Source organism: Homo sapiens, chromosome 5, assembly GCF_000001405.40.
Source record: "Homo sapiens chromosome 5, GRCh38.p14 Primary Assembly".
NCBI classification, from domain to species: Eukaryota; Metazoa; Chordata; class Mammalia; order Primates; family Hominidae; genus Homo; species Homo sapiens.
Window position 1 is genome coordinate 114,759,499 of NC_000005.10, and position 14,253 is coordinate 114,773,751.

The following is a 14,253-nucleotide window of genomic DNA, read 5'->3' on the forward strand; positions in this document are numbered from 1 at the left end:
CCGTGTTTATGGGAGAAGCCCCCAAAATATTAGGAATAGGCCTGCTCAACACCCCTCACTTCTGACATCCATTCTCCATCTTCTGTCTACCCCAAATAGACCAGACAGTCGTCAAGATGAAGGTCTGCCTTGACTTTTTGTCCTTGGCAGAGCAAGGAAGCAGTTGCACATAGCATTTAAGAGCAATTTTAGAAAATCCCTGAATCTTAATATATTATTGCTCTGTCTTTATTGACTTAGAATAAATGCATTTCCAACAATATGGCACATTCAACAATGTGAGAATTTTTAAAAAGCTGGAACCATCATATCTCAGCTCTTAAACAAAGTTAAGACTTTACTTCACAAAATACCACAGACTTTGGATTTAAAAGTTCCATGACCTGTTTTTTTCACTCTAGGCTCTCCATAACCCTGGGGAAGTTCCTCCCTTGCCTGTATCCCAGTCCCCCCTTTACCATGTTCTATTTTTAACACCCTCACCTTTTAAACATAATATAAATATACAATTATCATGTTTATTCTTTGCTGTTCTCTCACTATCCCCCCCATACACATACGCACTAGAACATAAGTCTCATGAGAGTAAGAACTGTAGTGTATTTTGTTCACTGATGTATCCCAAGTACCTAGAATAATGTCTGTCACAAGGTAATTACTCAATGAATATTTATTGCATAAATGAAACCCATAAACCTAACATAACTTATAATAACAATCTAATGACAAAAAGAAACTTATTCTAAACTCTAAGCATCACCTTGTTGACAAAAGATCAGGTGCCAGCATTATCCATTTCCTCATTACAGAAGATAACTAAATCACAATGTAAATATGTATCTACCTTTCAAGTTTAGAAGGGTTTAATTTCTGTTTTTGTATAAAAGTATGCTAGGAGATATATATACTTTTTAAAAGACAGCCACCCTGTCCTCTAAAGACACAACAAAAACAATGACTTTTGTATGGTTCGCCTACATTTCAGCTTAAACCTAGAAAAAAAGTTAATATTGTGTAATTTTAAGATTTTAATAACTTCTCCAAAATTATATGAACATATTATATAAGAAGGAAATTAAAAATAATTTTTACCTTCTATGCCATTTATTGTCACAGTCATTGTAAAAGTCTCTAATATCCTTTGATATTGATGAGACAATAAGTTTTTTATTTACTCTTAAAAAAAAAAGGGATACATGTGCAGAACGTGCCGGTTTGTGCCATGGTGGTTTGCTGCACCTATTGACCCATCCTCTAAGTTCCCTCCCCTCACCCCCACCCCACAACAGGCCCTGATTGTGTGTTGTTCCTCTTTCTGTGACCGTGAGTTCTGATTGTTCAACTCTCATTTATGAGTGAAAACATGTGGTATTTGGTTTTGGTTTCTGTGTTAGTTTGCTGAGGATTATGGCTTCCAGCTTCATCCATGTCCCTGCAAAGGACATGATCTCATTTTTTTTATGGCTGCATAGTAGTCCATGGTGTATATATATACCACATTTTCTTTATCCAGTCTATCATTGATGGGCACTTGGGTTGGTTCCATGTCTTTGCTATTGTAAATAGTGCTGCAGTAAACATACGTGTGCATGTGTATTTATAGTAGAATGATTTATATGCTTTTGGTATATACCCAGTAATGGGATTGCTGGGTCAAATGGCATTTCTAGTTCTAGATCCTTGAGGAATAGCCATACTGTCTTCCACAATGGTTGAACCAATTTACATTCCCACCAACAGTGTAAACCAGGCTGTTTCTCCACAGCCTAGTCAGCATCGTTACCTGACTTTTTAATAATCACGATTCTGACTGCCATGAGATGGTATCTCATTGCGGTTTTGCATTGCGGATTTTCATTTCTTTGATGATCAGTGATGTTGAGCTATTTTTCATATGTTTGTTGGTTGCATACATGTATTTTTTTGAGAGGTGTCTGTTCATATACTTTGCTAAATTTTTGATGGGGTTGTTTTGTTTTTTTCTTGTAAACTTGTTTAAGTTCCTTGCAATTTCTGGATATTAGACCTTTGTCAGATGGGTAGATTGCAAAAATTTTCTTCCATTCTGTAGGTTGCCTGTTCATTCTGATGACAGTTTATTTTTCTGTGCAGAAGCTCTTTAATTAGATTCCATTTGTCAACTTTGGCTTTTGTTGCAATTGCTTTTGGCATTTTGTCATGAAGTCTTTGCCCATGCCTATCCTGAATGGTACTGCCTAGGTTTTCTTCTAGAGTTTATATGGTTTTGGGTTTTACATTTAAGTCTTTAATCCATCTTGAGTTAATTTTCATAGAAGGTGTAAGGAAGGTGTCCAGTTTCTGTTTTCTGTATATGACTAGCCAGTTTTCCCAGCACCATTTACTGAATAGGAGAACATTTCCTCATTGCTTGTTTCTGTCAGGTTTGTTGAAGATCAGATAGTTGCATATGTGTGGTGTTATTTCTGAGGTCTCTGTTCTGCTCCATTGGTCTATATGTCTGTTTTGGTACCAGTACCATGCTGTTTTGGTTACTATAGCCTTACACTATAGTTTGAAGTCAGGTAGCATGATGCCTTCAGCTTTGTTCTTTTTGCTTAGGATTGTCTTGGTTATACGGGGTCTTCTTTGATTCCATATGAAATTTAAAATAGTTTTTTTCTAAGTCAGTGAAGAATGTCAATGGTGGTGTGATGGGAATAGCATTGAATCTATAAATGACTTTGGGCAGTATGGCCATTTTCACGATATTGATTCTTCCTATCCATAAGGATGGAAAGTTTTTCCATATGTTTGTGTCCTCTATTTCCTTGAGCAGTGGTTTGTAGTTCTTCTTGAAGAGGTCCTTCACATCCCTTGTTAGCCACAGTGCTAGGTATTTTATTCTCTTTGTAGCAATTGTGAATGGGAGTTCATTCATGATTTGGATCTCTGCTGGCCTATTGTTGGTGTAAAGGAATGTTTGTGATTTTTCCACGTTGATTTTGTACCCAGAGACTTGGCTGAGGTTATCAGTTTAAGGAGTTTTGGAGCTGAGATGATGGGGTTTTCTAACTATAAAATCATGTTGTCAGCAAACAGAGACAACTTGACTTCCTCTCTTCCTATTTGAATACCCTTTCTTTCTTTCTCTTGCATGATTGCCCTGGCCAGAACTTCCCATACTATGTTGAATAGGAGTAGTGAGAGAGGGCATCCTTTTCTTGTACCAGTTTTCAAAGGGAATGCTCTCAGCGTTTGCCCATTCTATATGATATTGGCTGTGGGTTTGTATAAATAGCTCTCATTATTTTGAGATATGTTTCATCAATACTTAGTTTATTGTGAGTTTTTAACATGAAGGGATGTTGAATTTTATCAAAGGCCTTTTCTGTATTTATTGAGATAGTCATGTGGTTTTTGTCTTTGGTTCTTTTTATGTGATGGATTACATTTATTGATTTGCATATGTTGAACCAGACTTGCATCCCAGGAATGAAGCTGACTTGATCATGGTGGATATGTTTTTTGTTGTGCTGCTGGATTCAGTTTCCCAGTATTTTATTGAGGATGTTTGCATTGATGTTCATCAGAGATATTGGCCTGAAGTTTTCTTTTTTTGCTGTGTCTCTTCCTGGTTTTGGTATCAGGATGTTGCTGGCTTCATAAAATGAGTTAGGGAGGATTCCCTCCTTTTCAATTGTTTGGAATAGTTTCAGAAGGAATGGTATCAGCTCCTCTTTGTATTTCTTGTTGACTTCAGCTGTGAATCCGTCTGGTCCTGTAATTTTTTTGGTTGGTAGGGTACTTATTACTGCCTCAATTTCAGAACTTGTTATTGGTCTATTCAGGGATTTGACTTCTTCCTGGTTTAGTCTTGGGAGGGTGTATGTTTCCAGGAATTTATGCATTTCTTCTAGATTTGCTAGTTTATTTGCGTAGAGGTGTTTATAGTATTCTCTGATGGTGGTTTGTATTTCTGTGGGATCAGTGATGATATCTCCATTATCATTATTTATTGTCTACTTGATTCCTCTCTTTTCTTCTTTATTAGTCTAGCTAGCCATCTATCTATTTTGTTAATTTTTTTCAGAAAACCAGCTCCTGGCTTCATTGATTTTTTGGAGAGTTTTTGGTGTCTCCATCTCCTTCAATTCTGCTCTGATCTTAGTTATTTCTTGCCTTCGGCTAGCTTTTGGATTAGTTCTTTCTTGCCTCTCTAGCTCTTTTAATTGTGATGTTAGGGTTTTGATTTGAGATCTTTCTGATGTGGGCATTTAGTGCTATAAATTTCCCTCTTAACACACTGCTTTAGCTATGTCCCAGAGATTCTGGTATATTGTCTCTTAGTTCTCATTGGTTTTGAAGAACTTCTTGATTTTTTGCCTTAATTTCATTATTTACCCAGGAGTCATTCAGAAGCAGGTTGTTCCATTTCCACGTAATTGTGTTGTTTTGAGTGAGTTTCTTAAACTTGAGTTCTAATTTGATTGCACTGTGGTCTGAGAGACTATTATGATTTCAGTTTTTTGCATTTGCTGCAGAGTGTTTTACTTCCCATTATGTGGTTGATTTTATAATAAGTGCCATGTGGCACTGAGAAGAATGTATATTCTGTTCATTTGGGGTGGAGAGTTCTGTAGACGTCTACTAGGTCCATTTGATCCAGAGCTGAGTTTAAGTCCTAAATATCCTCATTAATTTTCTGTCTCATTGATCTGTCTAATACTGACAGTGGGGTGTTAAAATCTCCCAATATTATTGTGTGGGAGTCTAAGTCTCCTTGTAGGTCTCTAAGAACTTGTTTGATGAATCTGGGTGCTCCTGTATTGGGTACATATACATTTAGAATAGGGAGCTCTTCTGTTGAATTGTTTCCTTTACCAGTATGTAATGCCATTCTTTGTCTCTTTTGATCTTTGTTGGTTTAAACTCTGTTTTGTCTGAGACTAGGATTGCAAACCCTGCTTTTCTCTGCTTTCCCTTTGCTTGGTAAATTTTCCTTCTTCCCTTTGAGTCTGTGTGTGTCTTCACACATGAGGTGGGTCACCTGAATACAGCACACCGATGGGTCTTGACTCTTTATCCAATTTGCCAGTCTGTGTCTTTTAATTGGGGCAGTTAGCCCATTTGTATTTAAAGTTAGTATTGTTTTATGTGAATTCGATCCTGTCATTATGATCCTATTTGGTTATTTTGCATACTAGTTGATGCAGTATCTTCATAATGCCATTGGTCTGTATATTTTGATGTGTTTTTGCAGTGGCTGGTACTGGTTTTTCCTTTCCATATTTAGTGCTTCTTTTAGGAGGTCTGGGAGGGCAGGCCTGGTGGTAATGAAATCCCTTATCATTTGCTTGTCTGGAAAGGATTTTATTTCTCCTTCGCTTATGAAGCTTAGTTTGGCTGGATATGAAATTCGGGTTGAAAATTTTTTTCTTTAAGAATGTTGAATATTAACCCCCAATCTCTTGTGGCTTGTAGAGTTTCTGCTGAGGGGTCCACTCTTCGTCTGATGGGCTTCCCTTTGTAGGTGACCTGACCTTTCTCTCTGGCTGACTTTAACAGTTTTTCCTTCATTTCAACTTTGGAGAATCTGATGCTTGTGTCTTGGGGTTGATCTTCTCATGGAATATCTTAATGGTGTTCTCTGTATTTCCTGAATTTGCATGTTGGCCTGTCTTGCTAGGTTGGGGAAGTTCTCCTGGATAATATTCTGAAGTGTGTTTTCCAGCTTGTTTCCATTCTCCCTGTCTCCTTCTGGCACTCCAATCAATCATAGGCTCAGTCTTTTTATGAAGTCCCATATTTCTTGGAGGCTTTGTTCATTCCTTTTCATTCTTTTTTCTCTATTCTTGTCTGAATGTCTTATTTCAGTGAGGTTGTCTTCAAACTCTGATATCCTTTCTTCTGCTTGGTCAATTTGGCTATTAATACTTGTGTATGATTCAAGAAGTTCTCGCACTGTTTTTCAGTTCCATCAGGTCATCTATGTTCCTCTCTAAACTGGTTATTCTAGTTAGCAATTGCTCTAATCTTTTATCAAGGTTCTTTGCTTCTTTACATTGGGTTAGAATTTGCTCCTTTAGCTCAGCATAGTTTTTTATTACCCATCTTTTGGAGCCTACTTCTATTAATTCATCCATCTCATCCTCTGTCCAGTTCTGTGTCCTCGATGGAGAGACGTTGTGATCATTTGGAAGAGAAAAGGCACCCTGGCCTTTTTGGTTTTCAGCATTTTTTCATTGATTCTTTCTCATCTTCGTGAGTTTGTCTAGTTTTGGTCTTTGAGGCTGCTCACCCTTGGATGGGGTTTTTGTGGGGGGTTTTTGTTGTTGTTGTTGATGCTGTGGTTGTTGCTTTCTGCTTGTCTGCTTTTCTTTAAATGATCAGGTCTCTCTTCTGTAGTGCTGCTGCAGTTTTCTGGGGCTTTACTTCAGGGCTTATTCATCTGATTCACTCCTGCACCTGGAGATGTCACTCATGGAGGCTGGAGAACAGCAAAGATGGGTGCCTGCTCCTTCTTCTGGGACCTCTGACCTCAAAAGACACCAACCTGAAGCCAGTAGGATTGCTTCTATATAGGGTGTCTACAAGCCCTGTTGGAGGGTCTCACCCAGTTGGGTGGCATGGGGAACAGACCCATTTAATGAAGCACTTTGTCCCTTGGTGGAAGGGGTGTGCCCCACTGGGGGGAAACCCATTCATCTGGGCTGCCCATATTCCTCAGAACTATCAGGAGGAAAGGCTAAGTCTGCTGGTCCACAGAGACTGCGGCCACCTCTTTCGCTAGGACCTCAGGCCCAGGGGTATCCGGGTTCTGTCCCTCAGCCTTTGGCTGGAGGTATTGGAGTTCCTGTAGGGAAGCCCTGTCTGGTGAGGAAGGATGGGTCAGGATCAGGCCTGAAGACACACTCTGGCTGCAGACTGCCACAGCTAGTGTGTTGGGCCATGGAGGACAAGTCTTGGGACCAAGCCTTGTTCAACCTTCCTGGCTCCAGCAAGGGAAAACAAAGCCTGTAGCTTTAGAGATGAGTGCTGCCCTCCCCCAACCCAGGGAGCTTAGTGTGTTAGGTAGTCCCAGTGTTGGCTGCTGCCCTTCCTTCAAGGAGCTCAAACAACTTAAACAGCAGGTCACAGCTACTGTAGTGCTGGTCCCCCCTCCCCTTGGGAGTTTGGTGGGCTTAAGCAGATTCCAGCTGAGAGACTGTGAAGAGTCTGCACATTCCGGGGTTGGGAGGATAGGCCCTGGTGGCATGAGTTTGCAAGTGGGATCTTCCAATTCATGGGTTGCATCATTCCGTTGAGAAAGCACGGTTTCCCTGGCTGAGTAGCACACTCACCACTTCCCTTGGCTGGGGATGGGGGCGGGGATCTCCTTCCCCATGTGACTCTCAGGTAGGTCACCACACCACACTGTTCTTCCTTCTCTCCGTGGGTCACATTAGCCTCCTAGCAGTTCTGATGAGCGAACCTGGGTACCTTGGTTGCCAGTGAAGGATTCACATGTGTATTATGCTTTTTTCCAATGGGAGCCTCCAGACATGACTGTTTCTAGTCGGCCATCTTGGCTTTGCCCCAAAAATATTTTTAAGGAAGCAAATTTATTAGTGAGAGTTGCTTTGACTGTCTCTTATATTCAAAGATCATTAATATTAAAAGCTAAATAGTTTGATATCACTGAAAATTGTCAGAATTTTAATGAAAAGAAAATTAGAACAAAGAGATCTAAAGAAAAGGACACCTAATAATTTATGGGCACATTGTTCTTCAAGCATTGTATTTGGAATTTGGTGTTTAAGAAATAAAAATATAAGTAGCCAGTGAAAGAAAAATGTGTTATAGCTACAAATGAAAGAAGATTAAAAAGGAAATTATATACTCAAACTTTATATAGTTTAGATTTTTAAGGTAAATGTATTTGTCTGCTAGCATGAAAAGCTTTTTTAACTGGAAAAATATATATAAGGATGCATGAGCTGATGTGGAAGCTCTCACTATTTTTCATAGCAGCAGTGGTGTAAATATCATTAACAATCTCATTAAAGTGGAAAACAGGAGTGGATCACAAATGGAGTACAAATGAGGAGGAAGGGAAGGCTTTGTTTGACCACACAGAGATTTGGAAAGGCTGGCATGTGAAAGTGGTACCTGGAACTCAAGGAAGGTTAAGACAATATGCACTGGAAGATATAAGGAAATGATTAATGTGGAAAGCCAAGCTTCCCCTACCCCTGCAAAAAAAATAAAATAAAGTAAAAAGATCTGAAACCATTTTACTGATGATTTGGTACCACTTTGTATAACAATCCCTGGGGAATTAAAGATGTAAAATAATTTGCTTCTGGACTATATAAATGATAATAGCATGTGGGTAATTGTGATCTCTGGGCAGAGACTGTTAATGAGCTCTCAGATGCCCAACAGTAGACACAGATGTCAGCCTGTCCCATCTATTGACAGTGATTGCTGAAGGTCTCCCTCAATTGAGTTTCTGTTTTATAATAGGAAACCATAATTAAGTATCTGAGAAAACTGGCCGTTGTAAAAAATTCTGTAAAATAAATTTGTATTGAAAGAAATGTTAAACATTTTTAAAATACTTTTTTTTCCTACCTTAACTTGGTGAACAAATGAAATATCTAAGAGGCAAACCATTCTGAGCTCCTTTTCTCTTCCCCCTACTCATTCTCCAGACAGTACACAAAGCTGGCTGAAAGGGTTTTGTCACCACATAACCCAGCCACATGACTCAGATCATGCCCCCCACGAACTTGCACATACACTCGGTCACATTCACCAAGGCCATTGAGTGATTAGCAAACTTTATTAAAAGTTTAAAGAAAATAATAGATATTACAACACACACAAAAAAATTTAAGGCTGAATATTAGGTACCATACTATGACATTTTCTGGGCCATATTTACCAAGGCAGGCATTAGGCTCCTACAATACGGTGTTTAACCTTATTGCTGTCCTCTCTCCCCAGTACAGCTAGCTCATCATTCATCTTTCCCACCACCCAAAATCTATGTCGGTTGATATAAAATAGCTCGGTTCTTTGTTGTCTCTTTAAAACTAATACATTTGAGGCCTGGTCTTCCGCTCCTCAAGCCATTAGCAAAGCATTTAATACACTACAATTCCTTTTAGGGGGAAAAAACCCAACTCTGGTGCTCTAAGGTAAAGTAATCATATATTTTTTAATCCTCAAAATAAAGCAGCAAAGTTCCAGGCAAATGGAAGACACTGTTGTGGATCACTGTTGCTATTGCTTTTTTTAAAAAAAGTTTTAATTTTGTGTAATTACATAGTAGGTGTATATATTTATGGGGTACATGAGATACTTTGATACAGGCACGCAATGTGTAATAATCACTTCATGGAAAATGGGGTATCTATTCCCTCAAGCATTTATCTTTTGTGTTACAAAAAAATCCAATTATACCACTTTAGTAAATGTTATATGTACAATTAAATTATTATAGATTTTAGTCACCCTGTTGTGCTATGAAATACTAGGTCTTACTCATTTTTCCTATTTTTGTACCCACTAACCACCCCCTTTTCTCCCTACCAACCCCCTCACTACCCTTCCCAGCCTCTGGTAACCATCTTTCTACTCTCCATCTCCATGAGTTCTATTGTTTAATTTTTAGCTCCCACAAGTAAGTGAGAACATGTGGAGTTTGTCTTTCTGTGTCTGGCTTATTTCACTTATCATAATGACCTCCACTTCCATCCATGTTGTATCAAATGACAGGATCTCATTCTTTTTATGGCTGAATAGTACCTCATTGTGCATATGTACCACATTTTCTTTATCCATTCATCTGTTGATGAACACTTAGGTTGCTTCCAAATCTTGTCTATTGTGAATGGTACTGCAATAAACATGGGAGGGCAGATATCTCTTCAATAACCTGATTTCCTTTCTTTTGGGTACATACCTAGCAGTGGGATTGCTGAATCGCATGGTAGCTCAATTTTTTTTTGAGGAATCTCCAAACTGTTCTCCATAGTGGTTGTACTAGTTTATATTCCCTCCAACAGTGTATGAGGATTCACTTTTCTCCATACCCTTGCCAGCATTTTTTATTGCCTGTCTTTTGGATATAAGCCATTTTAGCTGGGGTGAGATGATATCTCCTTGTAGTTTTGATTTGCATTTCTCTGATGATCAGTGATGCTGAGCGCCTTTTCATTATGCCTGTTTGCCATTTGTATTTGTTCTTTTGAGAAATGTCTATTCAGATACTTTGCTAATTTTTAATTAGCAATCTAATCAGATTATTAGATTTTTTGCTATAGATTTGTTTGAGCTCCTTATATATTCTGGTATTAATCCCTTGTCAGACAGGTAGTATGCAAATATTTTCTCCCATTCTGTATGTTGTCTTTTCATTTTGTTGATTTTGTGTGTGTGTGTGTGTGTGCAGAAGCTTTTTAACTTGATGTGATCCTGTTTGTCCATGTTTGATTTGGTTGCCTGTGCTTGTGTGGTATTACTCCAGAAATCTTTGCCCAGGCAAAAGTCCTGGAGATTTTCCTCAATATTCTCTTTTAGAAGTTTCATAGTTTGAGGTCTCAGATGTATGTCTTTAATCCACTTTGATTTTTGTAGATGGCAAGAAATAGGGGTCTAGTTTCTTCCGCATAATATCCATTTTTCCCAGCACACTTTATTGAAGACACTGTCTTTTTCCCAATGTATGTTCTTGTCACCTTTGTTGAAAATGAGTTCACTGTTGATGCATGCATTTGTTTGTGGGTTCTCTTCTCCATTCCATTGGTCTATGTGTCTTTTATTACGCCAGTGCCATGCTGTTTTGGTTACTGTAGCTCTATGGTATAATTTGAAGTCAGGTAATGTGATTCCTCTGGGTTTGTTCTTTTTGCTCAGGATAGCTTTGACCATTCTGGATATTTCTGTGGTTCCATATAAATTTTTGAATTGTTTTTCTATTTCTGTAAAGAATTTCATTGGTATTTTGGTAGGGATCACATTGATTCTGTAGATTGCTTTGGGTGGCATAGACATTTTAACGATAGACATTTTAACAATATTGATTCTTCCAAACCATGAACATGGAATATGCTTCCATTTTTTGTATCCTCTTGAATTTCTTTCATCAGTGTTTTATAGTTTTCTTTGTAGAGATCTTTGACTTCTTTGATTAGGTTAAATCCTAGGCGTTTAATTTTATTTGTGGCTATTGTAAATGGGACTTTTAAATTTCTTTTTCACATTGTTCAGTGTTGGCATATAGAAATGCTACTGATTATTGTATGTTGATTTTGTATCCTGCAACTTTCCTGAATGTGTTGATCAGTCCTAATAGCTTTTTGGTGGAGTCTTTAGGTTTTTCCAAATATAAGATTACATCATCTGAAAGCCAGGATAATTGATTTCTTTATTTCCAATTTGGATGCCCTTTATAACTTTCTCTTGTCTGATTGCTCTAGCTAGGATTTCCAGTACTATTTTGATTAGCAATGGTGAAAGTGCCCTCCTTGTCTTGTTCCAGGTTTTAGAGAAAAGGATTTCAGGTTTTCCCAACTTGGTATGGCACTAGCTGTGAGTCTGTTGTATATACCTTTTGCGTTGTGGAGGTTTGTTCCTTCTATATCCAGTTCTTTGAGGGTTTTTATCATGAAGCAATGTTGAATTTCATTAAATGTTTTTTCAGAACCAATTGAAATGATCGTACGGTTTTTGTCCTTCATTCTGTTGATATGATGTATCACATTGATTGATTTGTATATGTTGAGCCATCCTTGCATCCTTGGGATAAATCTTACTTGGTCATAATGAATGATCTTTTAATGTATTGTTGAATTCAGTTTGCTAGTATTTTGTTGAGGACACTGTTGTTATTCTTAACACGTCCATGGTCAGCAAGAACGCTCTCTGTGTTCAGAATCTCCGAGAACTTTCAGGTCTTCCCCTGTGCTGCATCACCAGTCCCACCAACCAGGCCTGGCAGTTTGGAATAATACCCCAGCCTTTATCCCACAGTGGTCCATGTCTCCAGAAACACTACCCAGACTATATCAGGAATTGGCTTTCAGTGATTTCTTAAAATGTCAGGGCCCTGGCTCCTGGGTTTCCCCAATAAGCAAAGCTTCCTCTTCCTATCCTTTATTGAAGCCCACTATCTTCACTGCCTAAGAACACTTGGCATTGTCCCTTCCTCTTATCTCTGGGCCACTTAAGCTTGACTATTTTCTAAACTTCTCTCTCCCCTAGACATCCAAATACTTTTGTTCCTATTAGTGCCCAGACCCAAAGATCTCGTCCTTGAGATTCCTGGTAATGCAATGTTTGGGACCAGTTAATTCCAGGGTTTAGAGCCTCACAGCGACTCACAGACCCTATTTCTTTGGAACTGGTGCTAAGTTCACCTCTTGCTTTCCTGTTCTTTCTTCCTTCTGAATTCATGGAGACTTGAATCAGTGGGTTTCCTTTAGGCCTGGGGATATTTTTCCTGCTACGTTTTAAGAGCTTCATCTCAGGCTACCTGTGGTCTCATGACATTTTAACCAGGTTGCTGGTCAAAGATGCACAGCACTCCAGGACTGAAAATTTTGAGGGATTCTTCAAATGCAGCCCAGGCCCTTAACTTACCAGAAGTTAGAAAAATAATAACATTTAATTTAGTGAATTCTTAATAAATTCTTCCCAGTGAGTTTATCCAGTGTTAAGCACCTCATATACATGATCACAATTATCCTCAAATCTCAATGAGATAAATATTTTTATTATGTCCATTTTACAGGTGAAGAAATTGAAATTCAAAAGGGCTAAACAATTTGCCCAAGATCACAAAACTAGTAGGGCCAAAGTCAAGTCTGAGTGCACTTACCTACTAGGCATACTGCCACTGAAATTATTTTTTTAACAAGCCCTCTGAAACCAACCCTAATATGTTACTAATCTGTGCATTTATAAGCCAGTTTCAGATGACTTCTCTAGTTAAGAGGCTGGCAAATGACATGATGGTCCAGCCCAGAAAAGCTTGTTGAGAACTGCTAAGCAGAGCTGGAAGCTCCCCGTCAAACATAGCTCACAAAGAAGGTTTTCTATGAGGCCCTAGGAGATTGTATTAGTCTGTTTTCCTACTGCTGATAGACTGCGCAATTTACAAAAGAAAGAGGTTTAATGTACTTACAGTTCCACGTGGCTGAGCAGGGCCTTACAATCATGGCAGAAGGTGAAAAGCACATCTTACATGGTGGCAGACAAGAGAATAATGACAGCCAAGTGAAAGGGGCTTCCCCTTATTAAACCATCAGATCTTGTGAGGCTTATTCACTGCTACAAGAACAGCATGGGGGAAACTGCCCCCATGATGCAATTATCTCCCACTGGGTTCCTCCCACAACACAAGGGAATTATAGGAGCTACAATTCGAGATTAGATTTGCATGGAGACACAGCTGAACCAAATCAGAGATGTTCTGAAACTCAGGGAAACTCAGAATAGGGAAAGATTGTCCAATATAGTCCTAAAGAGTCAAGATCAACCCTTGGAGTCATTGACTATTAATGACAGTCATCATCCCTACTTCTTCTCCCTGAGAGGCCATCAAACTCTCAAAATAGCCAAGCTTGGCTTCTGACCAGCTGACAGAACTAAGGCCCCAGAGACTTCTCTATTATTATGTGAGGGTTCACTGGAAGTTGCCAAGTTAACCAAGCTAATTTCTAAATTTCTAGTCAGGATGACAAAGGCAACTGAAACATCTGGCCCAATCATAAGTATGGCCCATATTAGCCATACTTGGGCTTCCCAGAGGATCACTTTAAAATTTTTAGGTATATTACAACTACATGAAACACCCTCAAGATTAGCCCCAGAACTTGTGCATCCCACCTCTGGCTTGAGCTCCCCAGGAACTCCCACACATCTAACATCCTGCAGTTGCACAATACTGCTGTTGGAACTTTTGGCTAAGTGGTCTTTCCTGAATGTCCTTTCCATTATGTCTCCATAGTTATACACCAGGTTACAAAGGAGAAGTTCCAGAACTCCGCTTCATACTCAAACCTTGGTTCTCCACCCTGTAAGTATAATCCTGAATCCTGACTTCTAGCTCCAGGGGTACCCACAACACTAGTATATCCCTTCTGTTTCATTCATTGTCTATAAGGCATTGACAAGGCAACTTGGTATAAAACACAACCCAAGAGATATAGATAGTAGTTCCAGAAGTGTCACTGACTAGGCAATTCATTGAAATGTATGTGCTCCAGTCTCCTCATCTCTGGGATGAGCAGTCTGAATGATTAC

The 14,253-nt window shown here is 38.9% G+C and overlaps 1 long non-coding RNA gene across 1 annotated transcript in view; it reads right to left on the reverse strand.

The window, feature by feature from the left end:
• LOC101927078 (uncharacterized) overlaps nt 1-13,915 on the reverse strand; it is a 325,996-nt gene extending 312,081 nt beyond the window's left edge. The window contains exon 1 of the long non-coding RNA NR_130785.1: nt 13,837-13,915. This is a non-coding gene — a long non-coding RNA (uncharacterized LOC101927078). The remainder of the gene's footprint in view (nt 1-13,836) is intronic.
• Nucleotides 13,916-14,253: the final 338 nt, after the last annotated feature.